Genomic DNA, 18069 nt, shown 5'->3' on the forward strand with positions numbered 1-18069 from the left:
CTGGAGGTGGGAGAGATCTCAGCTGGAGATAGAAATTTAAGAACCGTCAAAATATAGATGTCATTTAAAGCTGTAGTTTGAGTGGAGATCAGAGAACAGACCATGGAATGTCGCATCACTTGTAAGTCAGTGAGATGAAGAGGAACCAGAAAAGGAGACCAAGAAGGAGCTGCCATGAAGGAAGAAGAGAACCAAGAGTAATGCCCTGGAAGACAGCTGAAGAAAGCATTTCAGGGAAAAGGGATGTGATCCTTTGCTGCAGATAGATAGGTCGAGAGAAATGAAGAGTAAAGATTGGACACACACAGTAATAACAGAAAAGTCATCGGTAGTCTTGATTTACTTCATAGAGCGAAGGTTTGGAACAGATTCAAGAAGAATGGGAGGAAAGGAATTAGTCTAGTCAACTCTTTCAAGGATCTTACTTTAAGGAATTGTTGGAGAGGGGTATAGAGTTGAGAGAAAAAGCTTGAGTATGTAGGAGAGATAAGTGAGGGTTGCTGGAGAGATGTCCATGAGCAGGTCTGTGCGCACACATTTTGTGCACGCACGGCCTAGGTGGGTGCAGAAGCAGGAAGGTAGATAAGACAGAGGGCATAGCACTCATCATGCCAATAGGTTCCACAGTTCTGCTGCTGCCAAAGCTATATGACGTAGACATTAAATGGCGCATGTTCTACCATGACCAAAATACTTCAGAGCCTCCTACAGCTTCCAGGCTAACTTGCAGATTTCTTGGGTTATCACACACGTTCCTTCATGATTTTCCTCCTACCTACCTCTTTAGCCTGAAATTTCCACTATGGTAACTATCAGGTAAATTCTAACTTCTATGCCATCTTGGCATTGCTATCTGTCGTTTTATTCAAGATTTTCCTGCTCTCAATAGAATGAGTGATTTTCAACCAGAACATGGACATTTTAGGTATTAGGAGATTCTGGATCATATTTAGATGGCCTCCTTAGGGCTTTAGTGAGGGAAGGGAGGTGCTGCCTTGTTCCTGCCAGGTGGAAGGAGAAACGGTCCAGGTTCCCCATTTGGCCTCTGTTGACAAGGGGAGGGGGAAGGAGGGCCTTCTTGTTACTGCTGGGTAGGTTCCAGGTCTTAAAAAGCTGCCACTGATACCACCCTGACTCCACTGGCATGATATGTGGGTGTGTGATGGCCTCATTACCACTGAGCAGTGGATGATAAAACTGACTCTCCACTACGCCTCTCTGACACCACCCCAGCTGGGAGGGAGTAGGGTGTCTCCTTACTGCCACGTGGAGGTCCAAGTTTTTCCCATAGTGTCCATTGACACTATTGGGTATCATCACCACCAAGCCGACATGAAAGTCCTGGCTTTCTGCTTGGCGTCTCTGGCAGCAGGCACTGTTCCACACCCGCATGTATTCTTCACTAGGGCCACTAGGAGCGGCTTGTAGCTCTTCAGATTGGCTGATCTTTTTCACTTCTTCACATGTATCCTTTAGCTGGTCCACCTCACTCGGCTTCCTCTAACCCAGTGATTCCCAACTTTTTCAGGGCATGGCACGTAAAGAAAATTATAATATATACAAAACTCATTGGGGTGAGTGGAGGAGACCCAGAGCTTATTAACCCTAACCCAGCCCCAAGCTGCCCCAGAAGCTGAAGAAAATCAATGTTTTTGTACACCTTTCACCCATTCACAGCACAGTGAAGCTCCCAAGATTTTAGCCAACTCATTCTTCAAGACTTAGCCCCAGAAACTCTAACCCACAACACCCCATACCTATGTCATCAGACTATGTTAGAGTCATCCTAACAGTTTCTGTCCTCCCGCTAGGCTTTACAAGCCCTTGTCTCAGTCCCTTAGGGCTGCTATAACAACATACCTTAGCCTGGGTAATTTATTAACAATAGAAATGTACTGCTCACAGTTCTGGAGGCTGGGAGTCCAGAGTGCCGGCAGATACAGTGTCTGCTGAAGGCTTGATCTCCACTTCAAAGATGGCACCTTCTGTGTGTCCTCACATGGCAGAAGAGGATAAAAGGATGGGAGCTTCTGTGACCCTCTTTCATAAGGGCACTAATCCTGTTCCTAAGGGCAGCCTAATGACCTAATCACTCTTTTTTTTTTTTTTTCTGGATACCGGGTCTTTGCTCTGTCACCCAGGCTGACAGGCGGTAGTGCAGTCATAGCTTGCTGCAGCCCTGAACTCCTCAGGTCCCACCTTTCAATACTATCACATTGGATACTAGGTTTCATCATATGAATTTAGGGGGACATCAACATTCAGACCACTGCATTCTACCACTGGACCCCCAAAGTTCATGTCCTCACATGTAAAAATATTCATTTCACTCCAGTGACCCCAAAAGTCTTAACTTTTTCCAGTACTAACTCCTGAGTCTGAAGTCCACAATGTCATCTAAATCAGATATGGTTGAGACTCAAGGTACAATTTATTCTGATGCAAATTGCTCTCCAGCTGTGAAATCAAATGTGGTTCCAAAATACAATGGTGGGACAGGCATAGGATAGGCTTCCATTGCAAAAGGGAGAAATAGGAAAGAATAAAGGGGCAATAGATCCTGACCAAATGCAAAACCCAACAGGGCAAACATTTAAGGCTCCACAATAATATTCAACTCAAAAGTTCTACATTCTGGACACACTGGGGTAGGAGTTGGGCCTCCAAGGATCCACAGGGCTCTACCTCCATGGCTTTGCTGGGTGTAACCCACGTGGCAGCGCTCACAGGTTAGAGTTTCACGCCTGCGGCTTTCTCGCTGGAGTTTCATGCCGGTAACTCCACCAGTCTAGGGTCTCCAGAGTGGCCCTGCTCCCATGGCTACCCTAGGTATTGCATTAAAGGGGGCTCTCTGCTGTAGTCCTGCCCCCACCCACAGCTCCACTAGGCAGTACCACCTCCCAAGATCTTCAAATGCCTTCAGGGTCATTCTTCCATTGTCTTGATGAAATGCACCAGACTTTGCCCATTCATGCTAATCTCCTTATCAAGTGGTCTCTTTGCTACACCTTTGGTATGAGTCTCTCATGAACACATTTTCTCATTCTCTGCAGGCTGAGATTTTTCCAAATTTTTGTTCTGCTTCCCTTTGGATTATAAATTTCATCTTTGTTTCTTCTTGCATTTTACTATAAGCTGTCAAGAGAAGTCATGCCACACCCTCAATACTTTGCCTAGAAATATTTCTTCTGCTAAATATACAATTTGATCGCTTGCAACTTCTACCTTCCCCAAAACACTGAGACATGAACACAATTCAGCCAAGTTCTTTGCCACTTTGTAACAAGGATGGCCTCGCCTTTAGTTTCAAGTAATACATTCCTCATTTCTGTTTGAGACCATCAGAATGACCTTTTCCATCCATATTTCTGTCAACATTCTGTTCACAGTCATTTAGGTCATCTCAAGAGGATTGAGGCCTCTACAGCTCTCCTCTTCTGAGCCCTGACCAGAATCACCCCTAAGGCTCCTGTCATGGCAGTATACCTCAAAACTCTTCCAGCCTCTGCTCATTACCCAGTTCCAAGGCCACTTCACATTTTTAGGTATTTGTTACAGCATTAACCCACTTGTTGGTATCAATTTTGGTCTTAGTTTGTTGGAGCTGCCATAACAAAATACCTTAGGCTGGGTAGTTTGTAAACAATAGAAATGTATTGCAGTTCTGGAGGCTGGGGAATCCAAGATCAGGGCACCGGCAGATTCTGTGTCTTGGTGAGGGCTGCTCTCTACTTAAAGATGGCACCTTCTTCGTGACCTAACATGGTAGGAGGGGACAAGGGAGCTCACTCAAGGCCCTTTCAGAAGGGCACTAATCCTGTATGAAGATGGAGCCCTCATGACCTAGTCACTTTGCAAAGGCCCCACCTCTGAATACTGTCACATTGGGTGATCCTGACCCACAGCCTCTCAGGAGGTAGTAAACTCAACTGGGGCCGCAGTCATCTGAAGGCTTGGCTGGGGCTGGAGAATCCACTTGCAAATTCAGCTTCCACTCACAGGTCTGTTGGCCAGATGTCTCCACTCCTTGCCACACGGGCCTCTCTGGAGGCTGCCTGAGTGTCCTCACAACATGACATCTGGCTTCCCCAGAGCAGGTGTTGCAAGGGAAGGAGAGTCCATGTGAGGGGCACACAAGACAGAAGCCACAGACTTTTATACTCTCATTTCAGAAGTGACTTCACATCGCTCCTACCACATGCAATTTGTTAAACACCACTCCTGTGCCATGTAGGAGAACACAAGGGTGTGGATGCCAGGAGGCAGGGCCACGGAGGACTGTCTTGGAGGCTGGCTCCCACCTGGGCAAGGTACATTACATCTCTGTGCCTTAGTGTCCTCACTACAAAGCGGCGATAGTACTGCCTACCTCAAGGGGTTGCCAGAATTTAGTGATATGCCTGCCAAGCCCTTAAAATGAGGCCTGACACATAGTAAGCACTTGATACCTATTGGCCATTTCTATCAGGGTAATACTCCCGCACCACACACACACACACACACACGCACACACACACACACACACAGAACCAGTGTAGAATGTTGAAGCCATCCCTTCACCTCCTGCAGTTCTGCTGCTCCACTGATCCTCCATGCCGGATCCACATCTTCCCCTCTTTCCTGCCTTGGCTGGGGGCCACATCATTTCTGCAAGATGATTGCAGCATCAGCGACACTCCTCAGGTGTCTATTCCATTTGTAACCCATCTGTAATTTGCCCTTTATCATGCCTTCTATTAATCTTCCTAAAGTGCAAATCATTTTCCCAACCCCTTACACCCTTTTAATTGCCTCTGGGGTAAAGCTCAAGCTCCCTGGTTTGGTCCTCATGCCCTTCACCCTCTGGCCCAGCCTCCCTCTCCGCGCTGCTCCCTCCCCATATTCCATGCCCACTGGACTCACTGTGTTCCAACGCTGCAGCTGGCCCCACACACCTCCATGGTCTATTCTTACCCACGGCGTCCAGGTCCTCCTCACCTGCAGTGTCACTCGATCCCAAAGGCGTCCCTGACCCTGTCAGAGATATTCCTTCCTCTTCCCAACATGTGCCCCGAGAGCCCAGCCCTTCCATCTAGTGGGTGGTTTCACGCTGCGCGGAGGTGCCTGCCTTGCGTGTCTGCCTCTCCCCCAACCCAGCGCCTGGAACCTGGTTCTGGATGCCCCAGTGTCCCCATCCCCTGCATCTGCCTCCCTAGGTGCTTCCCCTTGTCCAGGCATAGAGAAAGGTAGAAATCTTGCAGGTGGGAGGGTGTAGTGAGGAGCAGGGAACTTACATTTCTCAAGCACCTCCTAAGACTCACTGAAGTCAGAGCATCCTCCCAGAACCACATAAGGTGGGTGTGTGTAGCCTGAACTGGAAGACGGCGAAACAGACTGGTGATGAACAGCCACCCGAAAACCTCACAGCCACTGCCTGTGGAGCTGAGGTCTGAGCCCCAGGCTTGCCGGCCACCGCACAGCCTTCTAGGAGTGTTAGGCCATCAACAGCAGTGCAGAATATAAAAATATAGAACACATTTTTATAGCACAAAGGAGTACAGTTTTATTAATTAACATCAGAAGATTTCATTGACAAGAGAAATGCTTCCCATGTTCCCTGAAGGCGTTTAGATAATTTTACAAATGGAAGAAATGTTGCAGTTTCAGATATTGGCGAAGCTCACTCTCTGCTCTGAGTCCCTTTCAAAATCCCAAACTCTCGTAGCCAGTGAGGGGCCCATTAAGAACGGTGCATCCACATAGCCAGCTCACCAGGAAAACAGGGACATCTGCTAACGAATGCAGGAAACTCAGAAGTCTCTTCTACTAGGTTGCATTTTTGCTATTTAGGTATCTTTCTTTTGAGGTAACAGACAAACAGAGATACAGAGATAAAATAGGTACATACATAAAATTGAAAAGGGTTGGCATCCCTCCATGTGCCACACAGCAGAGGCTTTCGCCGGTTACCACATTTCAGGAGCTACTTTGGAGTGGTGGGGTTTTCATGAACCCAGCGTTTGCACTGGGGCTAGAAATGCAGTGTCTGCTCGCCGGCACCTTGCTGGCTGCTGCAGAAGCAGCTGCTGCTCGGGGTGTGGGGGCCTGGCCTAACGTTCCCTATGGGCTGTCGGCTGTGGTTCTGCAGAAGCTCAGCATGGACTTGCAGGCTGCAGCTTCCTCCTGGCTGGCTGGCGTGCGTGGATCCCCTTGGCATGCCACGAAGACTTTTCCTTTTGGAAACTGCCCCTCCTTCTCTCACAGGTACTCTTTTGTGTCCCCTCTTCCTCTCCTGAGGCAGCAGCAGTGTAGTGCCTTCATTCAGGCACTCGTACTGCAAGACCTCCTCTGTGCTGACACGCCTCCCCTACGTCACACAGCTAGTGGGTGGCCCATCTTTGCAACGAAAACCTGGCATAGCACTGGCCTTTTGAGGCGTGTTCCCTCTAAGGCAGTGACCTCCAAGGGCGGGGTGAGGACACTTACACACCAGCAGGAGCCAAGCGAAATGCTTGCTAAGGGAGAGAATGTGCCCATGGCTTCTCCCCTTCCACCAGCACATGTGGCCAAGAATCTGCCAGCGGCCGCTCCTCATGCCTGGTGCACCTGTTGAGCATTTGCCACCACTTGTCATGCGAGTGAGTCACAGCCTGCCTGAAACTGCACTGTCTCTGCTGGGGCTTTACCCCGGTTTCCTTGGCTGGTTCTCCATCTCCCTACCTGCTGCTTCCTGAGCCCTTGCCCGCCTGGCAATCTTCCTAGCCTTCTTCCCTCCAGAGGATTCCGGCCCCCTCTGGAGCTGCTTACCAGCCTTGGTCAGCTGCCTAACAACAGGAACCGAGAGGCTGACCCCAGACACTCTTCTGCCAGTTTCTTCCAGTCTTTGGCCGCATCAGTGTCAGATACAGAGTGTGTCCAGGCCGGCCTCTGATGTCCTGTTACTGGATTGGTTCTCCAGAGCCAGGCTATGCTTTCAACTTCTTTTCCCATCAGTCAGCTAAGCAGCGTGGAAGATCCCTCTCTGAGCCTCAGTCCTTTCATCTGTAAAATGGAGATACTTCCTTACCTACTCTAGAACGTTACTGAGGGACTCTCAAAGCCTGAGATTGGTAAAGTGGGCCATGGGCAGTAGAAAAGTTACATGGAAAACAGGCAACTGTGCCTCACCTATTCATTCACCAAACGCTGATGTGCACCTCCTATGTGTTGGCCTCTGCTGGGTGCAGGAGATGTAGGGAGGAAAGACATACCCCATCCCGAGCAGCTCACAAACTCAGAGGGAGGGAGAGAAGAGGGGAAGGTAGACAGGAGAGTCACAGACACACACATTTTCTAAAAACCAAAAATCAGACAAAGACTGTTTAGCTCTCTAGTCTAATATGGTATGTCAGCTGAACAAAATTCAGGGTGATCTCAAACAAAATGCTGTGATGTGCTAATTTGTTCTCTACCCCTGACTTCCCCAAACCATGCCCCTGGGGAAGCAGCCTGGAGCTGTCTAGGGGAGATCAGCATCCCTGGCCAAAGAGAATTCATCCCTTTCACGAAAACACTGCGGACAAAGGGCATGGTTTCCAAAAATGTCAAAAGATGATCACAGAGGTAAGATCAGAAATCTTCAAAAGCAGGAAGCAAAAGGCAGCACAGCCCAGGCAGCTGAGGCTCCTGCTGCCTGGGCCTCTGGCCGCACAGCACCGTCTGTGAAGCATCCCTAGAGGAAGCTTAAAATCCGAGGCAGTTCCTGGAGTGCTGGGCAGCACAGGCCTCCTCCTGCGTACTCTAGGTTGGGAGGGATCCGGTGTTCATAATGGAAACCAGGAGCTTTCCACATGAAGAACACAGGCCGCATTAATCATTCCAAAGACCACACTGGCTTGATTGAGGTGAGCTGTTCCTTCCACCCCTTAATTCCTCCAGCTCAAACTAACCGCTGCAACTGTATTACAGGATATTTATTTCCCCAGATCTTTTTTTTTTTTTTTTTTTTTGCCTACACATCTATTATACTGAATAATTAAGGTCAAATTGTAGATACTTAAAAGAATTCTTTCCTATTCAACACTATTAAACAACATGCCTATTTCTCTGCTTCCACATAGCCAACAACATGTTGCTTTTGGGCCACACTGTGTTTTAGGTTTCATTTATTGCCAAACAAACACACAAACGTCCAGCTTTCTGGCTTCTCTTGGGAGAGCGGATGATCTGCAACTGCGGCCTGCCTTCCATGTGCCTCATGGGCGGCTGGGTGGCGGGCCGTGTGGCCGAGGCACAGCCCGGGGTCCCCCCTGTTCTCTGTTACCCCCAGCCAACCTGCTTCAGATACTTGCTGGTAACTATTCAGCCTCATTTTCCATTTGCAGTTGACGTCTATGGCCCAAGCAGTGAGGCCTTGTCCTATACATTGTTTTGTGGCACAAGGGAGTCAAATTAGCTAGAATAACTAGCAACCCAGTCCTGTGACTGTACCACAGTAAGATGGCTGCATGAACCACTCAGCAAAATGTCTGCTTATGCCCGTCTCCTAGTCCACCATGAGTGAATGGGAAGGAGGGGGGCAGGACTCCAGATGGCTGCAACGCCTCCACTAGGTTCCCTGGGTGGGCATCTGCCAGCCCCTCATTGATAACCTGCAGCAAGCCCGGAAGACAGAGTCATCCCCCACCTCCCAGTCCTTCAGGTGAGAAAGGAGGGGCCCTACCACAGCAGCTACAGGTGACAGGAGAAATCCCACACCTGAACAAGGGTCAACAAACAGCTGACCCCTCCCCCTAAAGCCCCCCCGCACCCCAGTCTCCCCCCAGTGCAGTTCTCCCTGCCCACTGGGCCTCAGGCTGTTCTGCTCCTTTCTCATCTTCACGTCTTGCGTTAAGGCTCTGATGGCTGCACTTCTGCGGATGCGGGACATTTTGGGTCTTGGGACCCTCCTCCTGCTGGTGCTCAGTCTCTCTCTATCCTTGCATCCTCAGAAGGCACAAGAGATGATTCCCCCTGCCAGAGAGCTGGCCTCTTTATCCAGGCTAAAGATTCCACCAGACACACAGCAGGTGCGCCAGGCATTCTCCGTGATCAAGGGAGTGAAATCCTGAGCAAACAGGCGTATCGTGGTGAGACAGGACCAAGATCCCCAGTAAGCCGGGACACCCCAAGGACACAGTGAGCGTGTGGCCCCCCAAAGCCCTGAGTTACAGACTCAGACCAGCCACTGCCTAAACCCTTCCCAACGAGTCATTTCCACCACACTGAGTACGTCCTTGTTGGTAATGCCTGGACAGGCGGGGGGATGCTCCTGGAACACAGCAGGTCCTCCATAGCTGCTCAATGTTCCTGGGAAGAGGAGGCCAGGGAGAGGGAGAGCTATGAAGGGTAGAGTCAAGATGAGGGCCAGCCAGAGGGCGGGACCCATGGCCTAATTCAGATTCAGACACTGCCTATGCTAGGCCTAGGTCACAGACATGCACTCAGGGAGGTCTCAAAGCACCCAGCACTCTGCCCTGTCTCTACTAAGAGCAGGGCCAGACTCCGCAGAGGAGAGGGAGATGCATTGCCTGTGAACCCAGGACCATGCAGGTACAGGCTGCACCAGGGAGATGCATTTCAGCTCAGGAGGAGGGCAGGAGAAGGGCGCCCCTACACTCCTGAACCACCCTTCCAGGTTCTGGGGTACATGCCCTTGTGACTGTGATGGGGTCAGTGCGGTGCGGTGGGCCTGGCTTTGTGATTTGAGGGCAGTCCCATAATCCTCTGAGCCTCTGTTTTCTCAGTTAACAAGTTGGGATGATAGCAGCAGCCTCATGGTGTTTGTGGAAAGAAGGAAAGAAAGAAAGAGAGAGAGAAAGAAAAAGAGAGAGAGAAAGAGAGAAATAAAGAAAGAAAAAGAAAAAGAAAGAAAGATGAAAGAAAGAAAGGAAAGAAAGAAAGAAAGAGAAAGAAAGATGAAAGAAAGAAAGGAAAGAAAGAAAGAGAAAGATGAAAGGAAAGAAAGAAAGAAAGAAAGAAAGGAAAGAAAGAAAGAAAGAGAAAGAAAGATGAAAGGAAAGAAAGAAAGAAAGAAAGAAAGAAAGAAGAAAAAGAAAGAAAGAAAGAAAGGGAAAGAGAGAAAAACCTGGGTAAAGCTGGCCCCAGTCCTCGCACAGAGCAGGCACTACCCCATGGCCTGTCTCCCTGTCTCTGAGAAGTGCCCCACGGTCCCCTCAGCCTATAGGCAGGGGTGGCAGGGGGAGTGGAGTGCAGAGAAGCAGAAAGGAGAATAAAGGAAAGCAGAAGCTGCCCCGACTCATGCAGACAGGCTCCTCGTCTGCTCCGTGATGACTTTCTATTTTTAGGTGACAGCGCTCTCTGTGACCTGCTTTGTAAATAGATGCTTTGCAGAAATAGATCGGGGCCATCCTGTGCGGGGTGAGAGGAGAAGTGGGCTGGGGACCAGGGCGCACCAAGGGGCTTAGCCTCCCTTCTTCCTCCAACAGGAGAACTGGGCCTTGAGAAATGAGAGCCAGGAGGACATCAGTTGTTGGACGAGGGTTACGGAGTGGCAACCCAGGCTGTGCCCCCTTTTCTGGGGCCATTTTGAGGGCATTCACTGCACAAAAGTTGTTTCCTTCGTTTTATCAGAATTGCAGTAAATTCAGCCGGAAAGAAAAGAGGATTCAGCTGGTCACAGCAAGCCCAGCATGATAAAAAGAGCATCAGCCCAAGATCCACGAGGAAGAGAAGGGACCTAAGCTCAGGTGCATTTCCTGCGGGAGGTGCTACACTAGGGACCCATACACGGGGAGTGTGGTCTGTAGTCCTGACAGCTGGGACCCATGGCCCCACTTGACTCCTGAGGGATACGACCCTCCGAGATTCTAGGGCTTGCCCGCGATCCGCAGCGGGAGGGGGCAGCGTTGGGATGGAGGGTCCCTCCGCCTGGCCCTGCAGCAGAGGCTGCTGTAGCTGCACCTCCCAGGTGCTCTCTCACTCCCGATGGGCATCGCGTCCCAGCCCTGGCCCCTGGCCCTCCCTGATGGCAAGCGAGGCCTGTGACAGACACCACCTCTGGGCCAGGTCACTTACAGATGATGTGCCTTCTCTGCTCAGCTCCTCTCTGGGGGGACAAAGCCACCTCTTGCACCCAAGGAAGGGGCTGAACAGCTGCCAGGACTCCCCGCAAACCCTCTGGGACCACAACACAAGTGGAAATAGTTCTTCATGAGGTGATCCTGGAGACAGAGGTCTTTTTATGTTTGGTTTTGCTTTTTGGATAGCCTGTTCTCATGAGTGCAGATTCCTGGGTCTATGTTTCTCCCCACTACATTTTGCAGTTATGGGTCCTAAGAAAGTTCTAGATGAGCCACATCCAACCTCTAAACCTCAGTAGTCTCATGTGGAAAATGGAAGGATTGCTATAAACCTGTCCCAATCCCTTACATCTTGTGGTTCTGGGTTTCTCAGGACCACTCTGCTTCTGGCCCAAAGCCCTGGATGGGCACAGAGAGGACACAGAAGGTGGGGCTGCCAGGTGGGTCGGGGCTGGCCCACCTCTCTCTGCGTAGGTGCCGGCAGCCCTAGTGGCCCCTCCTCACTGCCTTTCATTTCCTCCCTCCCTCTTCTGCCTCACATTTTAGCTACAAAGTCAAGTAACCTCTCCAGGCTCAGTTATCTGATTGAAAATCTAACAAACACTCTCAGTGTCCTACTGGACGCTCTCTCGGCCACTTTTGAGAACACCAGAAGCTTCTGTGGGCAACCCCTACACATGTTGGTGGCTTCTTGCCTCAAGTACTGTGGTTTTGTCTACCTCAGGAACGTGCTTGTGGAATGGCACCCCCAGAAGAAATGCTCAGCCAGTGAGAGAGGGCATCTGGTGGGTGGCACTTGAATGTCCTGGGTTCCTTGCCTCTTGCTGTGAGAATTCAGAAGCATGTTCCGCCCCCACTTTTCAGAGGGACCCAAGTGGGACTGAGCCCCAGGCTCCTGACCAGAGACTGCTCACAAGCACACCCTCTCTCGGCCTCTCTCCTGTCCCCCAGCCTCCCCACTGTCCCACTGTGCTTCCCCGGATCACCTCCCAAGGAAACGGTTTGTATCCTGTCTTAGGGGCTGCTTTGGGAGAAACACAAACTAGTAGACAGAATGATGTCCATGCTCTAATCCCTAGAAGCTGCAAACATGTTTTGTCACCCAGCAAAGGGGACGGTGTAGTTATGATTGGTGAAGGATTGTGAGATGGGGAAATTATTCTGCATGATCCAGCTGGGCCCCAGTGGAATCACAAGGGTCTTTCTAATGGGAAGGCAGGAGGGTCAAAGTCAGAGAGAGCAGATGTGAGTATGGATCCTAGGAGTGGAGTGATGTGCTTTGATGATGGAGGATGGGCCCATGAGCCAAGGAATGTGGGCGGCCTCTAGAAGCTGAAAGAGACAAGGAACAGAATCTCCTCTAGGGTCTCCAGAAAGAAACACAACCCACCCACAGCTTGGTTTTAGCTCAGTGAGACCCATACTGGACTTCTAACCTACAGAACTGAGAGAAAATAAACTTGAGTTGCATTCAGGCACTAAGTATGTGGCAATTTGTTACAGGAGAAATAGGAAACAAATACACAGAACTAAGACAACTTGGGCAGTCCTTGAGTGTAATGGGAAGAGCTCAAGTTTTGGAGCAAGGTGGCCTGCTTTGAATTACCTGGCTTTGCTAACCAGCTGGAAGGCTTTAGGTGAATTCCGCAACCCCTCTAACTCTTGATTCTCTGACCTGGGTTTTCTGACAGATTTCTGAGGTTGCTTAAGAGAAGACTCAGCAGGAGGTGGGTAAGAGGAAGAAGCCAGGGCAATTTATTTTTCATTTCCCTTAAATGCCAGCAACATTTTGCATTCTGCATAGAGAAAACATACCATCTCATTGCCTCTGAGGAAAAATATATTGCTCCTGTTAGTTACATAATTGAATTCATAGAAGTTGGTGGATTTTTATCATTTTTATTTACTTTCATGCGTTGTCTCACCCCTCATAAAAGGATTTGGGGATGGTTTCCAGCAATGCATGCATGCTATACATAAGGATGAAAGGAAGAGATGAGGACGTGTGGGAAAAAGCAACTGGGGTTGAGGAAATGAGACGCAGGCAGAGGAAGGTGGGATTGGAGGGCATCATGCATACCATAAGGCCTAAAATGGTCCCTTGAGCATCCCAGCAGCCAAGGCAAAAAGGACAGAGGATAGCTGCAAGGTTCAAGTGTCCAGAAGACACATCCTTTGGGGTGTGTGGAAGAACACACAGGAACACCCTAGCAGCCTGAGGAGGCAGGGGCTGGAGAGAAGGTCAAAGGCAAAGGGCAGGAAGGTGTCACCCAGGAACCTTCCTGGAAGAGGCAATGCATGCTTCCTCTTGCAGAGGAGAGTCAGAGGTTAGAGGAAGAATGAAAGACAGTCCAGGCAATGAGAGCAGTATGCCCCATGCCCTGGGAAGAAATGGAGCACGTATGCAGGGCATGCAAGCAGGCCACGCTTTGGGGGAAGGGTGGAGCTGAGGCTGGGAGGTAGCAAGGCCTCCATGTCCTGCAGCACTTTGCTGCCATGCTGAGGAGCTACAACTTGGCTTTCTGGACCGTGAAGGGCGCTTGGGGGTTTGAGTTGGAGACGCAACGTCATGAGATCCACATTTTAGAAGGAGCCAGCTGATATGTGGAGGGGATCACCGCAGCTGGAGGCAGCTCTCGTAGCAGTCCTTGGAGAGAGAACACATTTGTCGAATTCTCAGCTCGCTCCTTTCCCACTGCCCCAGGCGGTGTGGGGAATTGTCTAAGGGAGGTGCAGGAAGAATAGAGATGCAGGGACTGGCACAAGCCGGGGAAGCCAGAGCTCTCCCCTGACCCCATTCATCAGCCCTCCTGGCTCATCTGGTTTCTGCAGCCCCCAACCCGAGGGAGCAGATGAAGCCCAAAGCATATTCCCAGCAATATGGAGGCCACCTTGTCGAGCTGTGGTTGGTCCAAAAAGCCTGGGCTACTCTCAGACTCTAAACCACCTCATGCCTGGGAAGCTCCATCCATAGGAGCCCTGGTTTCCTGTGGCCATAGAAGTATCTCTCCTCTCTCCCTCCAGTCTCTGCAGGATGACCAGAGGTGCTTTTCCAAGATAGGCCAACCTGCACCAGCTGGCCCCACTCACTCTTAGGCACTCCTTCCCCCGCTCCTTCTGAGCACCCTCAGCCCTGGCCCCAGCCTGCCTCTCAGCCTCCACCCCATGCTTTGAATGCTGCCAACAAAGGAAGGTGGGTGGTCAGGCCCTAAATGGGAGATGAGCACGCTGAGGACAGCAGAGGGGCCTGCTGGCCCTTCCTAAGCAAGTGTGGGCTGGGGCCAGGATCTAAATTATCTCTAGGACTCTGCGAGCAGCTCTTTCTGCTCTCCCAGCTGACGACCGCTGCCATGCCCTGGCCAGCCCTGGCACCCAAAACAAAGGCAGCTTGTGATGAAGAGCGCAGGCTCCCGAATGGGACTCCAATCCTGGCTTCACCTCAGGGCTACCCACATTGCCTTGGGCAGGTTATGCCATCTCTGTGTCCTCTCGGCAGGGCAGGCTGCAAAATAGCAGCTCAGTCAGAGTTGGTGTGAGGATCAAATGAGAGAACAGGGGAGAGATCTCCGCCCTGAATCTGATTCTCCAGCCGGGGCCATGCTGGCTGCTGTTATCTTGATCATTCCCTTATCTGTTTAGCTGCAATGAGGGCTGTGGTGAGGGCTAAGTGGAAGCGCCCTGCAGACCCCAGAAGGGGAAGGAGAGCCGAAGTCTCAGGGGATCAGCAGTGTGCCCAGCACTTTGTGTTTGTTGAGACGGGACAGGCTTGCTGGACTCTCACTTTTCAATGCCGGTTTTGGAGATTTGTATCCGTTAGAAGCCTTTTGTTTCCAAGCCTCAGAACAACCCAGAACACGCTGGCTCTCAGCCAAAGGGAATTATTGATTCAAGTAAGCCAAAAAGTCCAGAGGATAAAGCTAGCTTGTCTCTTAAATCTGGTCCCTTGGGGCTGGTGCCATTCCCGGACTAACTGCTCTCTTCCGGTCTCAAGACAGCCAAGCCTTCTTCCAGGTGAGATCTGGTCACCCTTACCCAGCCAAGACTCTGTGGTGCATTCTGATTGGACAGACTTGAGTCACACGCCCCAGCCAAGACTCTGTGATGCACTCTGATTGAACAGCCTTCAGTCACATGCCCCAGCCAGGACTCTGGGATGCATTCTGATTGGACAGACTTCAGTCACGTGCCCCAGCAAGCCTCTATGATGCACTCTGATTGGACAGACTGGGGTCACTGTGCTAGTCCAAAAACAAATTGCTGTAGCCAGAGAATGAAGACTTTGAAGGGCTCCAGAGGTCTTGTTCTCCAGCCCTGGGTCTGAGGCTGAGGTGAGGATCACTTGTACACCAGAGGCAGAAATGGGGCACAGATGCCCTCTGGGTTGCTGCGGGCTGAAGTTAACAGGAAAGGCTCGGTGGAGGCCATGGATTTATGAAAAAGGCGAGGTTAGAAATGGACCAAAGGATGCCAGGGAGAGAAGAGAACATTGCAAACGGATGTTCAAATCACACCCCTTTCTCAAAAATCAGTGCAGCCCATCTGAGAGTTTGGAAATTTGGTGCCTCTCGGCTAAGGTTGCCGGATTAAGCAAATAAAAATATAAGATGCCCAGTTCAATTTGAATTTCAGATAAGCAACAAATAAATCTTTATGTATAAGTATGTCCTTTGCCATATTTGGGACATGTTTTACAAGAAGAAATAATTCATCGTTTAAAACTCAGATTTAACTGGATGTGCTGTATTTCACTGGGCAACCCTGCAATCTGCGCTCTCCCTTTGTTTTGAAGCATCCTCAGACCTTTCAAAGAGACTTGTTCTGTGTAAATGCTGGTAGAACTCACACTCCCTGGCATCATCCCCCAGAACGGAGATTTTCCAGCTCAGTATAACGTCAGTATCATGAGCAGCTTCCAGCAGTCAGAGCTGTCCCAGGAGGCAGAGAGTCTTCTCACAGTGGAACAGTTCTCTTCCCACTGCAAATTCCCAGGGGCAGAGAGCTCCCCTGGCCTTTGTCAGCTGGGCAGAGCTCTTCTGTTAGAAGATTCCATGTGCTGGAGTCCTCGCTTTTTTCTCATCTCTGGTTGGGACCAGAGGAAAACAGTTATTTTGGAGGGTGTGTCATCCTCATAAAACTAAACTTGCCCATGCAAGGGGTGATGGGGAGGGGGCTCTCTCAAGTTCTAAAGTTGGGTTATGGGGAGGGAAAAGTGTTGGCAAATCCTTCTAGCCCCGTAGCTAGGTCACATGATCCTTTAACCAAGCTTAATAATGAGCAGCAGACTTAGTTGCACGTGACAGAAAATTTCAAATAATTGTGATTAAACAATAGTTTGTTTCTTTCACATACAAATGATGTCCATAAATAAGTCAGATAATGCAGGGCTGATATGGGGACTCCACAGGGCCATCAGATCCCAGCCTTTCTCTCCATTACCTGAAATGCAGGCTTTCATCTTGAGAGTCACCTCACAGGCCAAGATGGCTGCTGGAGTTCCAGCCATTGCCTCCACATTCCATACCGCAGAAGGAAAGACAGAAACAGTACCCATCCCAGCTAAGTTAGCTCCTCTTGTACAATCTTCTTGGAAGTCTGACACTACATTTTAGTTTACATCTTCTTGGCCAATACTTGGCAACCACTTCTAACTGCAAGGGAGGCTGGACAGTGTCGTCTTTTGATGGAGAAAGAGAGAAGGAATGTCAGATGACCACAAGCAGTTTCTGCTATAAATAACAGAAGGTGCCATTTTGATCACTCAACTGACTTCAGAGTTCTCAATTGCTTCTGTTATCTTGGATGGAGCAAGGTAGATTTTTTGTTTGTTTGTTTTTAATTGAGACAGAGTCTCACTCTGTCGCCCAGGCTGGAGTGCAGTGGTGCGATCTCAGCTCACTGCCAACCTCTGCCACCCAGGTTCAAGCCATTCCCATGCCTCAGCCTCCCGAGTAGCTGGGAATCCAGGCGCCCACCACCATGACCAGTTAATTTTTTGTATTTTTAGTAGAGACAGGGTTTCACCATGTTGGCCAGGCTGTTCTCGAACTACTGACCTCAGGTGTTTTGCCTGCCTCGGTTTCCCAAATTGCTGGGATTACAGCTGTGTGCCACTGCACCTGGCCAAGGTGGGGTTTTATATCAGTTCCCTGAGCACACAGAAGTTCAAGCAGATAAGCTGCTCCCTCTGGCCTGGGAAGGGAGTCCTGCTTTTACTGATGGTTGTACATGGCCAGCAGTTTTCTAACCCTTTCTCCTAACAAAATCTTACCAGTATGAAGAACTGGTGAAATTGGAGCTGCTCCAGCTAGGACCAGGATCTTCCCCAGGACACCTCCTGGGCTGAGCCCTGGCAAACCCCCAGTTTATAAGGAACAGAGTTGGAAAACCACGAAACCAGCCAACCTTGCAAACCCCTTCCTGTTCTGAGGTCCTACTACTCTCAGGGTTGGTGATGACCACAAGGTCCCCTTTCTCCAAGGTGACCTCAGACACAGGCCTACCAGCTTTCTTGAAGATTCTATCATGGAGTACTCTGCTTAGAGTTAGGGAATCCCTTAAGGATCAGCTTTGGATTCAGGAATTCACTGTTGCCAAACTGTCATTAAAGGATAAGGCTCCAGGGGAGCTCAGGGCTCCCTCCCCTCACCCAGAGTCTGGGTCAAGGCCAGGCCAAGCTGAGCACAGCACTAGGGGTGGGATGGTATCTGGTATCTCTTCCTACTGTGAGAAGGGAAAGGACTTGGAGACTCAGTGTCAGCCAAGGCTCCTACTCATTTACGTCTCCTGCCTGCCCTCTGGGCAGCACCTATCTCCATGGCTTCCTCCAGCTTGAGAGAAGGTGGCCTCCTCCCCACCCCACCCTCTTGGAAACCAGTTAGGAAGAGGATGAAGACTGGTATGTCCCTTTGTGTCTGCTCCTGAATGGTGTATTTTGGGTCCTACCTAATCCAGCCCTCGGGTGGTGGTCCAAGCCCTCATGGGTGGTCACGGCTGTCTTCGTCAGTTTCCCTTGACCCTAGGCATGTCAATA

General features: G+C 50.2%; 1 long non-coding RNA gene across 1 annotated transcript, besides 1 other annotated feature; it reads right to left on the bottom strand.

Moving 5' to 3' along the window:
- Positions 1–12922: 12922 nt before the first annotated feature.
- On the bottom strand, positions 12923–15055 carry LOC124902046 (uncharacterized). The gene is made up of 2 exons (XR_007061159.1): positions 14821–15055; positions 12923–13686 (listed from the first exon to the last, which is right to left on the bottom strand). It is a non-coding gene; the product is annotated as an uncharacterized LOC124902046 (long non-coding RNA).
- Positions 15965–16154: a silencer, noted in NCBI's record as "fragment chr8:136686601-136686790 (GRCh37/hg19 assembly coordinates)". NCBI's record gives its function as "represses an EF-1alpha promoter that drives an FKBP-Casp9 reporter gene in an ReSE screen in HepG2 liver carcinoma cells {active_cell/tissue: HepG2}" and the evidence as "EXISTENCE:reporter gene assay evidence [ECO:0000049][PMID:32094911]".

The sequence above is a fragment of the Homo sapiens genome, chromosome 8, assembly GCF_000001405.40.
Source record: "Homo sapiens chromosome 8, GRCh38.p14 Primary Assembly".
In the NCBI taxonomy this organism is placed as follows: domain Eukaryota; kingdom Metazoa; phylum Chordata; class Mammalia; order Primates; family Hominidae; genus Homo; species Homo sapiens.